The following is a 21516-nucleotide window of genomic DNA, read 5'->3' as shown; positions in this document are numbered from 1 at the left end:
GTGAACCGAGATTGTGCAACTGCACACTTCAGCCTAGGCGACAGAGACAGACGCTGTCTCAAAAAAAAGAAGAAGGAAGGAAGAAAAAAGGAAAAGAGGGACGGAGGGAGGGAGGAAGGGAGGGAGGGAAGGGAGAAAAAGAAAAAAGCGGCTGGGCAAATGGTTCATTCCTGTAATCCCAGCATTTTGGGAGGCCAAGGCAGGAGGATTGCTTGAGGCCAGGACTTTGAGACCACCCTGGGCAATACAAACATCCTGTCTTATGCCTAGTGGATGTGTCTGTGTGGACGTGCACACACATTGGCTGATGAACCCCCCTTCCTGTTTTACAAACAGGCTCTACAAACAGACAAAATATATTTACAAAAAAGATACATCCATCTATACACACACATATATTAGCTGTCTATACAGCTATCTCTACAAACAGACAAAATATATTTACAAAAAAGATACATCCATCTATACACACACATATATTAGCTGTCTATACAGCTGTCTCTACAAACAGACAAAATATATTTACAAAAAAGATACATCCATCTATACACACACATATATTAGCTGGGTAGCCAGGTGTGGTGGTGCGTGCTTATAGATCTAGTTACTTGGAAGGCTGAGGCAGGAGGATCACTTGAGCCACAGAGTTTGAGTTTTCAGTGAGCTATGATTGTACCATGGCACTCCAGCCTGGTACGGGGTGACAAAGCGAGACCCCATATCAAAAAGAAAAAGAAGAAAACAAACAAACGAAAGGGTAGGAGCAGGTTGTTTTACAACAGTTTTTTGTAATAACTAAAATTGGTAGGTGTAGATTAGTCTAGGTGTGAGATTCTAAAAAGAAATGTCATCATGAATGTTTTCTGAGAGTCACTTTGAAGAAGAGTTAGGATATTGTTTGATGGATGATAATGAATGTCCATTCCAGGGAGGGGGTCTGAATGCAAAAAGGAAGACTTAAAAGAGGTCTGCACAGCTGGAGCAAAAATGATCCCCAAATAATTTTATGAAAACTGTTGCAAAGCAATAAAAGAGGCAATGGTGATTGTGCCAAGCGTATGCGGGAGAGAGCTTGTTGGGCCAGTGGAGAGAGGTGCTTACTTGTCCGGTAATATTTATCAGCACTTCCCCTACACCATCTAAATAAAAACAACGTGCTTCCTAAGTCAGCACTTCAAAGCAAGTCTTCTGACCCCCTAGTTTGACCAGACTGGCCTCCAAGCCCTACTTTATGCTAAGGCTGCTGTAATTAATGGGCCACGTTTCTTAGCAGATGCAATCTTGAACTCTGGAGACTACCAGATCTTGCTAGAAGCTCTGTTCTCCCCATTATTAACAGTGTGGCCATGTCTAGAGATTTAACATCTCTAAGCCTCTCTTCCCTCATTAGTGAAAAGAGGATTACAGAAGTGACTTCATAAAGTGATGCTGAGAATAAAATGAGAAAATGAGCATAGCATTTAGTATAGTGCATGTAATCACCATTCAGTAAAAGGCAGTTATTTATAGTTATTTGAATTCAAAATGTAATAATTATGTAAGATGCATTTGAGTCTGTAACAGGGTTTGAGGAGAACAGGAATACAATTAAAATCTCATGAAGATGATTGCTCCCAGGCTGGAAGGCAGGGGACTTACGCTGCCAACTGAAGCTCAGTGTCCAAATTCAGCCGTCCTTCCGCTACACCACTTCTTTCCTACAGCTGCCTGTGCACCAATGGTCATTTACTGACCGTATATATGTGTGTGTGTGTGTGTGCGTGTGTGTGTGCTATACATGGATGTGTGGGGTTTGTTTTGTTTTTAAAAAAAAAGAAAGAGTAGGTAGGTGTATGCGCCCCTGTGGTTCCAGCTACTTGGGAGGCTGAGGCAAGGGGATGGTTTGGAGACCGGAGTTTGAGCCAGCCTGGGCAACATAGTGAGGCCCCCTGTCTAAAATAAATAAATGAAACATAAAAAATAAATGAATAGATTTTTTCTAAATCAAAAAGCATTATTCCATTTTTTTCTCACTGTCATTGAAATTTTTTTTGGTAATAAATGGATTTCTGAGCCTGTTTTAAATGACAGGGTCTGTTGTTCAAAGCCCCACTAGCACGGTAAGCCATTAAACCAGCAGTTGTGAAGCTGCATTATAACACAGGGACAGTCACTCAGCTCAACACTTTACATTACAATAGGCAAGCCTCTGTGAGGCAGCTTTGAAATCCCAGAACTGTGGTCAAACTACGGACCTCCTGGAAGGACAAAGTGTTCTGTTTGTGTAGCACAAGGGTGTGGCTTTTGTAGCTAGTAAAATAATCTGAACACAAAGGCCTCCAGATCCTGCAGAGCACTCTGCAGTGAACTGACTCAGCGGAAAGCGGTGGGAAAGGAAGCTGGTTCTTAGATTTCAGAACCCTCCAAAGCTACACCCACCTCGCTTAGTTCTGACCCTGTGCAACAGGAAGGGGGTTTCATCAGCCAATGTGTGTGCACGCCCACGCAGACATATCCACTAGGCAGAAGACAGGATGAGAAACGCGGTGGGAAGGAACTCTAGTGGAGCCCAGTGCCGTCTCTTTGCAGCCTCTTGCCAAACTCCTGCTTTTTCTTCCTTTCACTGATGCAAAACCTAGTTGCTCTCATGGATTGAGGGAGGGAAGCCCTCTTATGATGTGGAGCCACTTTTAGCAACTGCTCTGAAAGAGGCTGCAAAATCAAACATCCCAGTTAGCATTGGGTGGATTGCTGAATATTGTGAAATAATCATAGAAGCTTTGATTGTCGATGTCCACTGGAGATCTGTGTGCCGGGAGCAAAATATTGGTATGTTACACATTTCATGTACGCAAATTAATTGGACAGTTAAAATCTATCAAAGGCGTCAATGGTAGGCTTTTTCTGTTTCTATTCACACACAGCCCCCACTGCCACCACCAATTTAGGCTTCATCTCAATAAACAGAATACATGTTTAGAAACTTATATAATTTAAAACCCTCTGATCCCTGAAAATTAAGAAAAAGGGGTCTGAATTTTTCATAATCAGTCCATATTGAATAGATTCCCCTCCTAATTGCTCAATTTTAATTTCATCAGATCATTTTGCCTAAAGACCACTTAGCCACCATCACCAAAAAAATGTGTAAACTTCTTGTGAAAAAGACTATACATATCAATGATCTGTGGAACTTAAATTCCAAGGAAACACATATTCAGAAAAAAAAATCATTCACTAGGATAAACCAGAAACACTATATTGATTTACCTTTCCTGAAACTACTAAAAAGTCCAGTAACTTAAGAACACATTTTTAAAATTTAATTCATTAAATTACATATAATACATTTCCAAAAAAGTTCAAAATATGCATGGACAGTTAGCAGAAGCTTTATTGTGAGATTTTTGCGAAAAAAAATTTATAAAGTTAACCCCAAAGCAACCTAATATGTTGATAGTCTCCTGCAAATTAAAATTCAATACACTATTGAATATTTTTATTATAGTTTTGAAAACAAAAGGTTAAAATACCTATAATTGGTAAAATATATGACTTCCCTTCCCTTCACCAAGATTACTAAATGTAATAGAGTGGGTTTTGTGTATGTGTGTTTGTGTGTGTGGTTTTTGTTGGACAGCGATTTATTTCAAAGCTTTTCTTTGTATAACTAGATTACATGACTCCTTTTCTAAATGTTCTGAAGGGCACAATTGGGAGCAGTAAAAGATAAACTGCACTGTCTATAATTATGTGATAATAGAACTCCAAGAAAGGTGAAGTTTCTTACAAAGTATATGGGAGTTAGAGAATATTTCTATCTACAATGTACTGTCCTTGAGAATGAACATTTGTCTTTGGAAGATGTGTATTCACCCAAACAGTGTGTACTGAATATGTAGTATACACTAGGCAGTGTTTTAGGTTCTAGGAATACAGTGGGGAACAAGGCAGAAAACTTTCCTACTCTCTTGGACCCCATAGCCCAGTGAAGGAAGACAAACATTAAACACATAAACAACTAAGTAAACAAGAAAATATCAAGTCATGGTAAGTGCAAGGAGAAAATTACAACAGAATGTAATTTTACTTAGCAAATAAAAATGCAGGAGACTGATTTATATGTGTGTGTGTGTGTGGATGTGGAAGGATGGCTGGATGGATAGATAAGAGAGTTCAGGAGAGAGAGACACACACATCAGGACACACTACCCCAAAATATGGCACCTTGGCATATTGAATATTTTAAGCTGAAGGAATTTGAGAAAATAGCATAAGCAGGAAGGTCTCTGTGAAGTTCCGCCTCCCTTCTCCCCTGAAGCAGATCATAAAACCTAGGAAGCATGTTCTGACCTTCCCTTGAAGCAGTGCATAAGATCCTTATGTGAGAGGTGCTTCCCTATTCCTGGAGGAAAGGAATATCCTTATCTCCAAGGACACAGAGTCACAGAGAGTAATCTGAACAAATAAGCCTTGACAAGTTTCTCCCAGCTCATTACATGTAGCTCATATCCCCTTTGTCCTATCATATTTCTCCATGACTTTCCACTCTTCATCAAACCTACTATGGAAAAACACTCAAGTTTAAAACTGTTTATTGAGTTTTCATTTCCTTCTGAAGGTTCCCTTGTCACGGAAAACTGATATTAAATAAATGTGTATGCTTTTTGCTTGTTAGTCTTTCGTTTGATACAGGGGTCTCGAGCACTGAACCTAAAATAAGTAGAGTAAAACTATTTTTTCTCCCCTACAATACACACACACTCTTAATGCTGCTAGGACCGTGGTTCCCAATCATGATACCGTGAACCCACAGGAGTGTTATAGTGTTTTTAAATTTTTAGGGGAACACAGAAATATCAGTCAGACACTACACAAACTGCTACTACTAAATTTGGGCCTAACTACTTAATAAACGAATGAGGTATTCCTATTTTCCTAGAGTCACCATGAAAAAATTACCAGATATTAAGGGTGGAATGAACTAGGAACATTTGAGAATCTTTGTGCTAGGAACATCTTTAATGGCTATGTGTGTACATAAGAATGGCTTTGTTGCATTGTTTTTAAATTAAATTGAAACCATATTAAAAAGAAATACTTTCAATCTGTTTTTCTTTCTTCAAAACAAATTTTACAAACTTACTCTAAGCAAATCCTCAACTAGATTTTCATATTTCAGTTTAGCATTTATATTTACTGCCATTGTGACTTGGAACATATCATATTACTTTTATGCCTCAAATTTTTATATTTTAAAAGACCTATATTTATTATGATTGCAGATATTGTAACTTAAAATATAATGATTTTAGATATTTGTTGGCAAAAATACAGAATATGTTATGTTTCTTGATCTTTGTGTTACAAAAGTTTAAATGAATAAACTAATGTACAACTTATAATTTTATTTCTGCCATGTAATATTTATACCAGTAAAGTTTAGCAAATGATAAACAAAATTTCAATAAGCTTACGAAATTGCTGAATTTCAAAATGAAAGTCTATTGTCATTTCATTTCACCTGCTGGGAGACAGACACACTAGGTTTTCCAAGGAAGATAAGAACATACTGGAAGATTGCTGTGAAAAATTTAAAAGAAAAGGTACCAACTCCATGTCCTCTGTCAGACTTTATAGTTTTAACTGTACATTACCAAACATTTAAGAGTCAACAGAATTCAATTACTTGCCAAATCCTTATACAATGTCATTAGCTAACAAATCTGAGGACAAAGGTCTCCCTAACCATGTTACAGGATGTTCCTCCAGTGGTTTCGATAGTTTGCTAATTATCTACATTACACAAGAGTCATGAGCATTACAGAGGCAAGTCTAGCCTGCTATGCTTTATTACTGCTATAATTACTGCTGTCGTTTTCTCAAGTACTTTCAGTAAATGCTTGTCAAATGACAACTTTAGCTGGAAAATTAATCATTATTTTAAAATCAATTGTTATTGTGAGCCTTAATATTTCTATCACTAAATGCAAAATAATACTTATTACCTTTTTTCCTGAGACTGTGTAATAAGGGTAGTATTATAATTTGCTGAATTTTATGCTTGATAGTATCATTGTGAAAATATTTTTCTTACTAATAACAATCCAGAACGGAAACACTCAGAAGAGTATTTTCCTTTAACAACTTTGAAAACAAATTTTCAAAAATTTTTATCTACTCACACGACATTTACCTTTTTTATCAGTTGTGAGTGAAACCAACAGGAATAAAATGAAGGCCTTAAAAGAATGAACAGGCCGGGTGCGGTGGCTCACGCCTGTAATCCCAGCACTTTGGGAAGCCGAGACGGGCAGATCACGAGGTCAGGAGATTGAGACCATCCTGGCTAACACGGTGAAACCCCATCTCTACTAAAAAATATACAAAAAAATTAGCCGGGCGTGGCGGCGGGTGCCTGTAGTCCCAGCTACTCGGGAGGCTGAGGCGGGAGCATGGCGTGAACCCGTGAGGCGGAGCTTGCAGTGAGCCGAGATCGCGCGGCTGCACTCCCGCCTGGGCCACAGAGCGAGACTCCGCCTCCAAAAAAAAAAATTAGCCGGGCGTGATGGCGGGCGCCTGTAGTCCCAGCTACTCGTGAGGCTGAGGCAGGAGAATGGCGTGAACCCGGGAGGCGGAGCTTGCAGTGAGCCGAGATCGCGCCACTGCACTCCAGCCTGGGTGACAGAGCGAGACTCTGTCTCAAAAAAAAAAAAAAAAAAAGAGAATGAACAAGGTGGTTGTGCTTGACTTGGTGACTCTCTGGTTTTAAAAGTAGCAGTGAAGAAACCATCTAGATTCAAAGTAAGTAATGATGAGTAATTCTACCTACACTAAGATAGGAGTCCAAGACGTTGACTGAGGCAGAATTTCTAGATACATAGAAACGAGCAGAAACCTAGAGACAAAGGGACTGCCAAGCTGAAGTCGTTCGTGTGGCTATTCAAACATTTTGAGTTTACATGAATTGCCTATGAACTCTGTGAACTTCTAAGCCATAAGAAAAGTGTCGGCCGGGCCGGGTGACTGACGTCTGTAATCCCAGCACTGTGGGAGGCCGAGGCAGGTGGATCACCTGCGGTCAGGAGTTCTAGACCAGCCTGGCCAACATGGCAAAAACCAGCCTCTACTAAAAATACAAAAATTAGCTGGGCGTGGTGGCTGTAATCCCAGCTACTTGGAAGGCTGAGGCAGGAGAATTGCTTGAACCCGGGAGGCAGAGGTTGCAGTGAGCCGGGATCATACCACGGTACTCCAGCCTGGGCGACAAGAGCGAAACTCTGTCTCAAAAAAAAAAAAAAAAAGAAAAGAAAAGTGTTACTGTGCTGTGTCCAAGATATAATCATAATGAGCCCTTCATGCAAACTGCATCCTGTTACAACCAGCTTTCAATAGGCCTGAAATGCTTGTCAAGATGTGACCCATTATCCATGTCCCATATCAAATATACACAGATGATTTCAGTAGTAATACTACTACTTAGTTTAAGAAGTATTTTTATATTATAAAATATATAATTGGGGTAGTGGTATGTTTTAATATTTAAATAATTGTCCATTTCTATAAGGCATAGAGAAATGTAGCTTTAGTGGATTTTGTATTACATGACTATTCCCTTTTTTATCATCTCAAAGCATATTTTTTCTTTCTAAATTGATTTTCTTTGAAAATTGAACATATCAAGTTTTAGAAGGCCAGTACTGAGAAGGCATAATGGCTTCCTGAGCTAGAATCTGAGACTCAGTTATTACAACAGAGAATCTATTTATCTCTCTGATGATTTAGGGCAGAAAACAGGTTGAGAATCAGTAGTCTGGATTTATTTATTCTATTTGCACAATGTAATACTGAACCAATTTCTCCAAGTGCCTAACTTCCTTTCTTGGAAGTTATGGAGCAATAACTTTTAATTGGAGAGTGATAAAACCAACCCACATTCCACATTGTTGAGATGCTTAACTAATAAGCATGTTTTAAAGGCACTTACACAATGGAGAGCCCTTTAACCAAAAAAATAAAAATTGATTTGCCTACTAAGTCCATTAACTGTACATAATGACACAATTTATTTGCACAAGAATTTTAGAATATTGGCAGTATTGGGTAATATAAAGATTTTGAATAGTGGCTTTAAAAGCCACCAAAAAATACAGTACTAAAAAAATTATATGGTATTAAATATAATAAAATTCCGTTCCATTGCAAAGTCAGAGGTTATATGCAAAATATGCGAAAGGCTCCCAACCTGAGGGCTGGAAAAAAACAGGGCACCAGGCCTATAAGGAATAGTTGTGTTTCCTGTTGCTCAGTAACTGTCCTGACCATGAAGAGAGATTTCACTGTGTCTAATTTTTTCTGGTCCTCTATAGGATGACTAAAGCAGAAGAAAAGAGTTAAGAAAAAGCCAGAATTCAGAAGACCAACTAGAAATTAACCTTTAGCATGTGGATCATTACTCTTAATGAAGAGAAATCATTCTGCTGCTTATGCAAAATCTATTGGTCTCTTCTGTGTTATAGTGTAGCTCAGTTTCTTCCTGAAACTCTTTGTATTCCTCTACGATAACTCTTCTACTATTATAGGAATTATTAATATTTTAACCTGTCTGCTTGTTTTATCATATCTGAACTCTGCAGACTTTGTCTCATTCACCTTTGTATGCCTAATGCTTGTTAATGTGTGAATATATAAAGACAAAATATTAGGATGTATTTTCAAGATTTTTTTTTTTTTTTGACACAGTCTTGCTGTGTTGCCAAGGCTGGAGTGCAGTGGCACGATTTCGGCTCACAGCAGCCTCTGCCTCCTGGGTTCAAGCAGTTCTCGTGGCTTACCCTCCTGAATAGCTGAGATTACAGGCGTGTGCCAACATGCCCGGCTAATTTTTGTATTTTTAGTAGAGACAGGGTTTTACCATGTTGGCCAGGCTGGTCTCGAGCTTCTGACCTCAAGTGATCCACCCGCCTTGGCCTCCCAAAGTGCTAGGATTATAGGCGTGAGCCACCATGCCCGGCCTATTTTCATGATCTTAAAAAACTAAGAATAAACTCGATTCCCAGAACCTTACTTCTATACATATAAAACATGCAAAAATCTACCTTTAAATTTTAATTTAGATTTCAAAATGTGTTATTCTCTTTCTTTCTTCCTCCTCTTTCATTCCACCCTTTACTTTGTCCTTTACTTACTATTCGTTGAAAAAGCAATTAGGTAGGAAGTCAGTCTAGCAAGCTTGGTAGATTAACTACATATGGGGGGATTGAGCAATTAATACAGTAAGATAATGGAAGCCGTCATCATCTTACTGTCAGAGAAGGAATATATGAATATGACAAGGAATAAAACTATAATAAAGTCTGTGGTGACAGGAAATAGGAATTGGAGGTGTTGGTGTGTACTCATAAATAAGTATATTTGTGTATATATAAATATATAGGTAGGTAGATACACATACACACACATGCACACATACAAATATGTGAGGGAGAGAAAAAGAGAGGAGGAAATAGAGCAATAGCAATATGCATGTATAGAAATTATTTTTCCACTGAGGAAGGCCTAGAAGGAGCAGTATCCTTTTAGCATATCAAGTACTCAGATCTTGATTTCTAAATGCCACTCTACTGAAAGAAACAGGGCTTCTTGGAGGAATGGCTGATCTCAGGACTGGGACAAGGAAAGAACAAATGAACATAAATCATCTGATTGTGCCAGGAAGTAATGAAGTGCTGAAAGAATAATGAGAACATGTCAAAAGTACACAGAAGCCAACCTGGAAAAGGGCTTACTCCTACTGGTCAAATCTATTTTTATTTATTTATTTTTATTTTTATTTTTTTTGAGCATCAAAAGAAATGATGATAGTACTGAATTATAGTACATTGAATAAAATAGGAATTCATGAGTCCTCTATGATAAAGATAAATAAATGGGGAGTTTAATACTAAATAATGTAGAAGGAGTGAAAGCATTAGAAAATCAACATTTTTCAACCAATATAGCAATAATCAGGCAAGACATAGCAATGAATGCTAAAACTAATGGGTAAAAGTAGGTGGAGGAACAGAATTTTACAGTCTCAAAATTTCTCCCCACAAAGTAATTACTCATTCCAAAATGTATAAAAACATTGTACCTTTACAATAGAGAAGCCTCACAGAAGCCACCTTATTTAAACGATCAAAGTTAACATCACTAGTAATGGGAAACATTGACACCATGTGCCACATGATAGGATGCAAGGAAAGTAGCAAAGCGTCACTTCTGTGAAATTTTGTCAAAAAAATGCATTACCTGAAAATAATTACGAGGAAACATTAGATAAACCCAAATTCAGGGACAGTTTCCAAAACAACTGACTTATAATTTTCAAATATGACATGGCCATGAAAGGAAAGAGGAAGAAACTGTTCCAATATGAGACAACCAGATACCATACTAATTCTGGACTACATCCCTTTACCATAAAGGACATTATTAAAACAACTGGCCAACCCTGGATGAGGTCTCTGCATGAAGGGTATACATACCTTTTTTTGTATGATTCTTTCAACTTTTCTTCAATTTTCAAATTGTTCCAAAATTGAAAGTGGAAAAAAAAAATGTTTAAAGTGCCAGTCCTTGACTCTGACTTGGATGATTAAATATCCTAATAGTCAATTTCATATAAAAAATAACTTGATACATTTGTATAACCAAGTTCAAACATTGTGAACATTGTGAACACACAGTAAGTGGTGACTCACAAAATGCCTCACCAGTGAATTACCAGTAACATTAGCAGTAGTACTTAACATTCATGTAGCACCCACATTATTGTACATAATACAGCAAAGTAATGGCTCCCTCAAGGAGCTGCTTTTCTAAGAAACAAAAGCTAGTGTGTGTGTGTGTGTGTGTGTGTGTGTGTGTATCCAAATACAATGTTTTCAAAGAAATGTAGACCATGGGTCAGATGTCACAAAGACAGTTGACTCAGACTATTCCTCTCCCTTTTATTTCAGGTTTAAGGAGGCACAAATCCAGGTGTTCCCACATTACCAAATTACTACTCTGTAGTTTGAAAGGAATGACAATGACATCCTGTTTCTGGTCATGGCTAATTTAGTATACACTGCACCTGTAAAACTCCAGGCCATCAACATTTCAGGAAGGCTATGTAATCAAAGTGGTGACACTTACTACTGAGAATTATTGGTGACTTCCAGAGTACAGCACAAGCCCTCTCTCCACCTGACTTTCAATTACAACAGAGGGTCAGAAGAGTCCAATAAAGGCAGAACCTGAAGATGTCTGTGGCTGCCTGCTGCTCCTCCTGCAAATCAGAGCTCCCTGAACATTCCTCTGTGTAGCCAAGAGGCAAAATTTTAGCTCTGCCTCCTGAAAAATCTCTTTGATCCTCCCACATTTACTTACGACAAAATCCACCCTTCCCTCTTCCAACAGAGTTTTAACATTTGCTTATCCATTTCTATCAATTATTACGCAGACCACAGACTGCCATATACAGAATTGGTATAGATACGAAAAATATCATATGCGGAGTGAGCGTTAGCTCATTCAAACTTCTGAAGAATTACTGAAAATGACATTACTTGACAGAATGTCAGAAATTTCATATGTGTTCTGTACAAACCTCAGACAAAATTTTATTGGTAATCTAATAATAAGAATAATATTGGATGATTACTAAGGGTAGGGCAAGATTCTAACTACTTAACATGTATTGATTCTTGTAATCCTCATGACAACTCTAAAGGGGTATATTATTGTTATCCATTTAATAGTTGAGAATAGCATGGCTCAGAGAGGCTAAATAACCTGTCCAAAGTTATATAGCTGATAAATGGCAAAACCAGCATTTTTACCCAGGCAGCCTGGTTCCAGAACCCAAGTCTTAATAATATCACACTTTCTCTCTCTTCGAGAGCTCTTACATGTCATCCCATCACACTTTTAGTCTAACTTTTTCTATTCTATCCATCGGATCTGAAATCACAGCATTTCAAATTTAAGAAATTAAAAATAATCATTCCAAGATACATAAGTGATTCATTATATTCCAAAATATGTTAGCTAGATAAAAATGATATCAAGAAGGCTGGGCACAGTGACTCATGCCTGTAATCCCAGCATGTTGGGAGGCCGAGGTGGGAAGATTGCTTAAGTCCAGGAGCTTGAGACTAACCTGGACAACAGTGAGACTCTCGTCTCTACAAAAAATACAAAATTAGCCAGGCACGGTGGTGTGGGCCTGTAGTCCCAGCTGCTCAGGAAGCTGAGGCAGAAGGATCACTTGAGCCCAGGAGTTCAAGGCTGCAGTGAGTGGTGATCATGCCAATGCACTCCAGCCTGGGTGACACAGCAAGACCCTGTCTCAAAACAAAACAAAACAAAATTAAAAATTTTTTAAAAATCACCTGCAAATCATATCAAGAATTTAAAGTATACCTGAAATGGAAATTGACAATTTAATCTGATAAGTATAAATGGCAGATACTGAGGCTTAGATTAATGGGAAGAATATCAATAGCAATTTTATTCAAAACAAAAAACCCACCAAAGGCTCTGCTTCTCCTCACTCCCAATCCATGTCCATGCTTGTAGGGATACATGTATCTTAGTCTCTGGAGAAATCACTGCTTGAAATACTCAATGTTTCTAAAAACACTCAGAAATGATAACTATTGTAGTACCTAGTAAAGATTAAATTAAAGACTCTGTATACAACCACTATGGAAAACAGTTTGGATGTTCCCCAAACTAAAAATAGAACTACCATATGATCTAGCAATCCCACTGCTAGGGATATCAACATATTGAAGGAAATCAGTATATCGAAGGCATATCTGCACTCCCATGTTTGTTGCTGCACTGTTTACAAGAGCAAAAATTTGGAAGCAGTCTAAGTGTACATCAACAGATAAATGGATAAAGAAAATGTGTACATATACAAAATGGAGTACTAGTCAGCTATAAAAAAGAATGAGATTGGCCGGGTGTAGTGGTTCACACCTGTAATCCCAGCACTTTGGGAGGCCGAGGTGGGCAGATCACCTGAGGTCAGGAGTTCGAGACCAGTATGACCAAGATAGTGAAACCCTGTCTCTACTAAAAATACAAAAATTAGCCAGGCATGGTGACGGGCGCCTGTAATCCCAGCTACTTGGGAGGCTGAGGCAGGAGAATTGCTTGTACCCAAGAGGCGGAGGTTGCAGTGAGCCAAAATTGTGCCATTGCACTCCAGCCTGGGTGACAACAGTGGGAAAAAAAAAAAAAAAGAGATTTTGTCATTTGCAACAACATGGATGGAATTGGAAGTCATGTTAAATGAAATAAGTCAGACACAGAAAGACAAACTTCACATGTCTGCACTTATTTGTGGGAGCTAAAAATCAAAACAATTGAACCCATGGAGCTAGAGAGTAGAAGGATGGTTACCAAAGGATGAGAAGGGTAGTGGAGGGGTGGAGAGGAACTGGAGATGGTTAATGGGTACAAAATAAAAATAGATACAAAGAATGAATAAGACCTAGTATTCGATAGCACAACAGGGTCACTATAGTAAATAATAACTTAATTGTACATTTTAAAATAGCTAAAAGAGTATAATTGGATTGTTTGTAACACAGGGGATAAATGCTTAAGGGTATAGATATCCTATTTTCCATGATGTGATGATTATAATGCACTACATGGCTGTATCAGGGCATCTCACGTACTCCCATTAGTATATACACCTACTATGTACCCACAACAGTTTTTTAAAAAAAGAATCTGAAGTTTGGAAAAAAAAGCCTCTGATCTTTTAAAAATATATATTGATCAATGAATAAGGAATTACAAAGCACTAAATTATACCTTATACCCTCTTTTAAAAATAATATGATTACATATATGAAATCAATGTAAATGTTTATGTATAAATAGAAAGTATACATATTCTAGAATTTCATATTCTAGAATAGTATAAATAATGATACAGGCTAGTGTCAAACGTCTCTGAAAAGATAGTTGGAAACAAAACTGAAATGAATGTAGTAGCTAGGGATCAGCTGTGCTTTACTTCATGTTCTTTGTTTGGAAAGAAATTAGTTCTTTCTGGAACCTTGGTCTATATTGAGTCATGCTGGGGCTTTTCTTGGCTCAAGGCTTCACTTTTTATTATTATCTGTTAGCAACCACATCTGGAAAGATTGCCTTTTTTTTCACCCCTAACATGGTAGCTTTTCATAGTTTCCTCATGCGTTACAGATCTATTATAGAAGAATGATGGAACTAATATATAGGTGAAAGAAAGAATATGCACTTTCTCATGCTGTTTTGGCTAAATATCTCTATAGTCTTATTTACCCATATCCAGGACTTTTTTTTTTTTTTTTTTTTTTTTTTTGGAGACAGTGTCTTGTTGTATGGCCCAGGCTGGAGTGCAGTGGCACAATGGCACAACCTTGGCTCATTGTAACCTCCGCCTCCAGAACTCAAGCAATTCTCCTGCCTCAGCCTCCCAGCTAATTTTTATATTTTTAGTAGAGATGGAGTTTCGCCATGTTGGCCAGGCTGGTCTGAAACTCCTGACCCCAGGTGACCCACTCGCCTCAGCCTCCCAAATTGCTGGGATTACAGGCGTGTGCCACCACGCCCAGCCCAGGACTTTTTATTTATGGGATTTTAAATCCCTGAATCTCTAATTGAAAAAAAGAAAATACAAAAAAAAAAAAAAAAAAAAAAAAAAACTCAGATGTTCACAGAGAAGGGTTTCCTCCTGGATGGCCTCATTCCCAGTATGGTTTCTGCCATTCTGAAAGCACCAGTCACTTGGTTTGAAAACTCTTTACTCAACTTCAGCTCAAGCAACTTTGACATCAATGAGCACAAACGATAAAAGTTTTAACTTTTTATTATTACTTAAATTTTAAGTATTTTTTTAGCAGCAAAAGAATATAAATGCTGCTTCATTTAAAGAAAATATAATTTGAATGCATATCTACAATATGAAATAATTGATATAAGTTCTAAAATTAAAGAGATCCAGATTCAACAGGTAGCTCTGCCTTAACTGTGTAACTTTCAGCAAGTTAATTAATGATCTTAAGTTGATTTGCTTTTCTGTGTGACTAATAGTGCTACTTTAAAAATCCCATCGCTTTTTCTTTTTTGAGACAGACTCTCTCAGTTGCCCAAGCTGGTGGTAGTGGCATGATCTTAGCTCACTGCAACCTTTGCCTCACCCATTCAAGCAAATCTCATGCCTCAGCCACCCAAATACCTGAAATTACAGGTGTGTGCCACCACAGCCAGCTAACTTTTGTATTTTTAGTAGAGATGGGGTTTCTCCATGTTGCCCAGGCTGCTCTCGAACTCCTGACTTCTAGTGACCCACCTGCCTTGTCCTCCTAAAATGCTGGGATTACAAGCATGAGTCACCACACCTGGCCTTCATAGCTATTTTTAATTTGCAAATCCAGACATAAAAGAAATCAAATCTCTGGATAAAGAATCTAACATCGATATGTTAGATGGCTTTCAGGAGACCAAGAAAGTGAGATAAAAACAATAATCCGGCCGGGTGTAGTGGCTCATGCCTGTAATCCCAGCACTTTGGGAGGCCAAGGCAGGCTGATCACAAGGTCAGGAATTCAAGACCAGCCTAACCAACATGGTGAAACCCCGCCTCTACTAAAAATACAAAAATTAGCCGAGGGTGGTGGTGCACACCTGTAATCCCAGCTACTCAGGAGGCTGAGGCAGGAGAATTGCCGGAACCTGGGAGGCGGAGGTTGCAGTGAGCCGAGATCATGCCACTGCCCTTCAGCCTGGGTGACAGAGCGAGACTCAGTCTCAAAAACAAAAAACCAAAAAACAATAATCCAAGTTAGTGACTTAGATAGAGTTTAGACCAGGATGATAACAACAGAAATGTAGGTAAAAGAAAGCTTTGGGGACATTTTAAGGAAAGATATGACGAAACAACTAATTAAGTTCATTTTAAAATGGAAATCAGGTTATGTCAATTCTTTACTTAAAACTTTTTAGTATCTTCCTACTGTTTTTAGAATAAAATTTATTTTTTACTGTTTCAGAACAATCTTCCAGCTGAGAGAACTGGAAAAACTAGACAATTTTTGTTTTTTAACTGTTTGAAGGCATCAGAGAGCTACAAAGAAAGTGAAAATGTGGGGGAAAGATCTGAAATAAATCAAACCCACAGAGGTGATCTAACTCAACCCTTGCTGCCAGTAACAAAAATAAAATCTCTCTGGGGAAAGATAACACCCTACTGAGCCTCAAATCATAACTAAAATCCTACTGAGCCTCAAATCATAACTAAAATTTTTATTTACAATGTTTGGCAGTCAATCAGATAAAAAGAAGAAATGTAAAAGGGCAAAAGTTGATTAAAATAAGAGAGAGACCCATAGATACCTAGATGTTGATGTTATCTGACAGGTGCTTCAAGCCATGTATTCAAGAAGCTCTACAAAGCTCTAACAAAAGAGTACAAAGAAAACCATCCCTAGACACATAGTCCCACTGCAAAAGCTAAAAACAAAGAAAAATCTTATAAGCAACCAGAGAATAAACGACATACTACCTTCACAAGAGCAAAAATTAGACCAACAGCTGACCTCCCAACAAAAACAATGGAAACAAGAAGAAAATAGAATGACGTGTGATATTATGAGATATATATAAATAGATTTTATAATATCTATATATATGGGCTTTTGTCCATAGTTCCTGGCTTATAACTCCCATATCCCTTGTTACAGTCTTTAGTTATAATGTTGGGGCACTTAAAACCTCAGATAACAGGCCTCAGAAAACAGAATCTCTCTTACCTCCTGCCTCCTTTCATCTGCTCCTCCTCTTCCAAAGTCAGAAATCTTCCCTGCCTTTCTGTCTTAGAGCTGGCCATAAAGAAATTCTCTGACTTATGTGATTGTAGGTCATAAGACACCCATTTCAGAAGAGGTCCTGCCCCATTCCCTGGAGGAAAGAATGTAGCAGAGAGAGGACAAAAAGAATCTGAACAGATAGACCTTGCTGGGTTTTCCCACTCAGCCTATTAGTATTAGATCATACATTTTGTGTCTAATCACATTTCTACACAGCTGTCGATTTTGCCTATCCAGTGAAGCCTCCATAAAAGACACAAGAAGACTGGGTTTCAAGAGCTTCTGGATAGCTGAACACATTGGAGGCTCCTGGAGGCTGGTGGTCAGGAAGGGCATGGACACCCTGAACCTCTTCCCCTATACCTTGCCCTGTGAATTTCTTCACCTACATCCTTTGTAATACCCTTTGTAATAAACCAGTAAATAACACTCTCAGCTATGTATAGTTACACCTGGCTTCACTTGTGTGACTTTTGCAATGGGAAGAGAGAGAGAAGGTCCCCTTGGTACCTCAGCTCGGCCTTATGGTGGCCTCTTTCCTTGAAGGGTGCAACAAAAGCAGGAGGAAAAAAAAAAAGCAAGGAAATAAACTTATATATTCAGTTTCCCTGAATTCTGCGAGCCACTCTAGCAAATTAATCAAACCCAAAGAGAGGGTGTGGAAACTCCACATTGAAGCTGGCAGGTCAGAAGTTCCACAGGCCCAGACTTGTGACTGATGAGGATCAGGGGCGGTCTTGGGCACTGAGCCCTCAACCTGTGTTTTTTTTTTCTTTTTGAGACAGAGTTTCACTCTTGTCGCCCAGGCTGGGGTGCCATGGTGCATCTCGGCTCACGGCAACCTCCGCCTCCCATGTTCAGGCAATTCTCCCGCCTCAGCCTCCTAAGTAGCTGGGACTACAGCCGCCTGCCACCGTGCCCAGCTAATTTTTGTATTTTTAGTAGAGATGGGGTTTCACCACATTGGCCAGGCTGGTCTTGAACCCTTGACCTCAGGTGATCCACCTGCCTCAGCCTCCCAAAGTCTTGGGATTACAGGTGTGAGCCACCGCACCTGGCTTCAACCTGTGGTCTTATGTGCAGGAAAATAGTGTGAGAATTGACTTGAATTGGAGGACACCTAGGTGGTTTGTGCTGCAGAATTGATGGCTTGCTTGCTTGCTGGTGAGGAGAAATCCCCACACATTTTGTCACAGAAATCTTCTGTCTGTGATTATTGTTGTTGAGAGGATAGCTCACTTTCTCAAAAATACTTTGAATTTCTTTCCCCACTCTCCTGACATACTTTGGCAGATTTTTTTTAGAAAATATATTAGAAAAATTTTTGGAGATTCGGAGCAAATTGAAAAACTCACAGATGAACTGCATCACCTAGAAAAGCAAAAAACTTTTAAAAAGGTATGTCATGAATGCATAAAATATATGTAGACATAGTCTATTTTATTATTTACCATCCTAAAATATACACATCTTTTATAAAAAGTTAAAATTTACCAAAACTTTCCCTCACACATTTACAGACCATACATGACACCACTTGCTGTTGACAGAAATGTAAACAAAAATAAAGATGCCGTATTCAATCATAATTGCATAAAATTCACTGTAGTACATATCTTACTACTGTAACAATTTCGTAGCCACCTGCTGTGGCTATTGCAGTAAGCTCAAGTGTTGTGAGTATCCACTTAAAATGTTGTGTCATGCTCACACCTGTAATCCCAGCACTCTGGGAGGCTGAGGTGGGTAGAGGCCAACAAGGGGAAATCCCATCTCTAGCAAAAAATGCAAAAATTAGCCGGGCATGGTGACGCACTCCTGGAATCCCAGCTACTTGGGAGGCGGAGGCATGAGAATCACCTGAAACTGGGAGGCGGAGGTTGCAGTGAGCCGAGACTGTACCACTACACTCCAGCCTGGGCGACAGTAAAACTCTGGCTCAAAAAAAAAAAAAAAAAGTCATGTCACGCTAATCACTACCGTGTGAGCAGTTGTCTCTCCAGTAAATTGCGTATTGCAGTAAAAAGTGATCCCTCACGGTTCTCACTTGTTTTTCACCATGTCTACTGCAATACCCTAAACCTTGAATAAGAAACATGGGAATCATATGAAGTGCCCCAAGTGGTGCTGGAAGAGCGCTCAAAAAGCAGAGAAAAGTTATGACATTAAAAGGAAAAGTTGAAAATCTGGATATATACCATAGATTGAGGTCTGAAGCTGTATTTCAGGCAGACTATTCGTCTTATAAACAGATGACATAACCTTACAGTATCAATCAATACAGTACAGTACTTATGTCATCTATTTTCTCTTCCTTATGATTTTCTCAATACCATTTTCTTTTCTCTAGCTTACTTTATTGTACGAATACAGCATATAATACAAATAACATACAAATTATGTGTTAATTTTCTTTTTGTTATCAGTAAGACTTCTGGCCAATGGTAGGCTATTAGTGGTTAAATTTTTAAGGCAGTGAGCGAGGTACGGTGGCTCACGCCTGTAATCCCAGCACTTTGGGAGGCCGAGGTGGGCGGATCACAAGGTCAGAAGTTCGAGATCAGTCTGGCCAACATGGTGAAACCTCGTCTCTACTAAAAATGCAAAAATTAGCTGGGCATGGTGGTGCCTGCCTGTAGTCTCAGCTACTCAGGAGGCTGAGGCAGGAGAATTGCTTGAACCCGGGAGGAGGAGGTTGCAGTGAGCCGAGATCACACCACTGTACTCTAGCCTGGGCGACAGAGCGAGACTCCATCTCAAAAAAAAAAAAAAAAAAAAAATTAAGGGAGTCAAAAGGTACACACAGATTTTCAACTGTGTAGGGGTCAGTGCTCCTAATGCCCTCCTTGTTCAAGAATCAACTGTACTAAAAGAAAATGAATGCCAACCTTGAAATTCTGTACACACAGAAAATATCACTTAAAAGTAAAACTAAATAAATCTTTTCAGAAACCAAAAAGGAAAGAATCTGTATTTAGAATCTGTACTGAGAAAATACTAAAGTAAGTTCTTCAGACAGAAGAAAAATGATCACAGACCCCAAAATTAAAGTTTTGCTAGATTTTAATTCTAATGAACCTCTAGAGATTAAAGAAAAAAAATTAGTACAGAAAGGATAAATATGCAAAAAGTAATAATAGTCATGTCTCGAGGATCTTAAATGTGTTGAGCTAAAAATTCAAAAACAAAAGTCATTGGGGTACAGTGGCTCATGCCTGTAATCCCAGCACTTTGGGAGGCCAACGCGGGCAGATCATGAGGCCAGGGGTTTGAGACCAGCCTGGCCAACATGGTGAAATCCCGTCTTTACTAAAAATACAAAAATTAGCCAGGTGTGGGTCGGGCACGGTGGCTCACACCTGTTATCCCAGCAATTTGGGAGGCTGAGGCGGGCAGATCACAATGTCAGGAGATCGAGACCATCCTGGCTAACACGATGAAACCCCGTCTCTACTAAAAAAAATACAACAACAACAACAACAAAATTAGCCGGGTGTGGTGGCACGTGCCTGTAGTCCCAGCTACTCAGGAGGCTGAGGCAGGAGAATCACTTGAACCCTGGAGGTGGAGGCTGCAGTGAGCCTAGACTGTGTCATTGCACTCCAGCCTAGGCTACAGTGCAAGACTCTGTCTCAAAAACAAAACAAAACAAAACAAAACAAAAAAACCCATATATCACAGGGGGAAGCAAGTGGGGAAGGTGGTAAATACAGTTGTAAAAAGTTTTATGTTTTTATATTGTCCAAAAAGTAGAAGTGGTAAATGTACTAATTTACATTAAGCTTTACTCAGCTAAGGATGTATGCTGCAGGCCAGGTGCGGTGGCTCATGCCTGTAATCCCAGCTCTTTGGGAGGCTGAGGCAGGTGGATCACGAGGTCAGGAGACCAGCCTGGCCAACATAGTGAAACCTCATCTCTACTAAAAATACAGAATTAGCCAGGCGTGGTGGTGGGCGCCTGTAATCCCTGCTACTTGGGAGGCTGAGGCAGGAGAATCGCTCGAACCCGGGAGGCAGACGTTGCAGCGAGCCGAGATCACGCCACTGCACTCCAGCCCGGGGTGACAGTGCGAGACTCCAAAAAAAAAAAAAAAAAAGATGTATGCTGCAACTATGGAATAACAAAAAGAATAGTAAAAGAATGTATAACCAGGGGGGAGGGGTGAGGGGGTGAGAAGAAAAAAGACTTAATCTAAAAGAAAGAAAGGACATAAAAATAAACAGTCAAATGGAAAAATGTGGTAGATTTAAACAAAATATCAGTAATTTGTAATTAAATATATAAAGACCAAGTAAAAGCAAACTATCATTAAAAATACAATTGTCAGACAGGTAAATGCTCTATTCTGATTTTGCAACTTCATATCCTGCCATTCTGTCGATTGCTCACCAGTTCTAAGCATACTTAGTCTACTCGGTTCAGTGATTTTCCATCTCAGGGCCCTTGCAAATAAAGTTCCCTCTGCCTGAGATGCTCTTTCTTCTACTCTTCTCATAGCTCTTTAGATAAATCAGAAAAATCTCCAACCACTTTATCCAGTGAAAGTCACCCCTATTGTTTTCTCATCCTTAGCCCTCTGTTTCCTTCATAGCACTTTTCACATTTTTTATTTTACTAACTGCAACCTCTACCTCCTGG

The 21516-nt window shown here is 39.0% G+C and overlaps 1 non-coding gene across 1 annotated transcript, besides 1 other annotated feature; it reads left to right on the top strand.

Moving 5' to 3' along the window:
• Positions 1932–2599: an enhancer, noted in NCBI's record as "OCT4-NANOG-H3K27ac-H3K4me1 hESC enhancer chr7:12755219-12755886 (GRCh37/hg19 assembly coordinates)". NCBI's record gives its function as "activates a minimal SCP1, AML or CMV promoter by ChIP-STARR-seq in naive H9 embryonic stem cells {active_cell/tissue: H9 hESC(naive)}" and the evidence as "EXISTENCE:reporter gene assay evidence [ECO:0000049][PMID:30033119]".
• LOC124900237 (small nucleolar RNA SNORA64/SNORA10 family) lies at positions 17304–17435 on the top strand. Its single transcript, XR_007060652.1, has one exon. It is a non-coding gene; the product is annotated as a small nucleolar RNA SNORA64/SNORA10 family (small nucleolar RNA).
• Positions 17436–21516: the final 4081 nt, after the last annotated feature.

Source organism: Homo sapiens, chromosome 7 (genome assembly GCF_000001405.40).
Source record: "Homo sapiens chromosome 7, GRCh38.p14 Primary Assembly".
NCBI lineage: Eukaryota > Metazoa > Chordata > Mammalia > Primates > Hominidae > Homo > Homo sapiens.
Note: the sequence above shows the minus strand (reverse complement) of the source record. Positions and strands in the feature narration are given on the sequence as shown.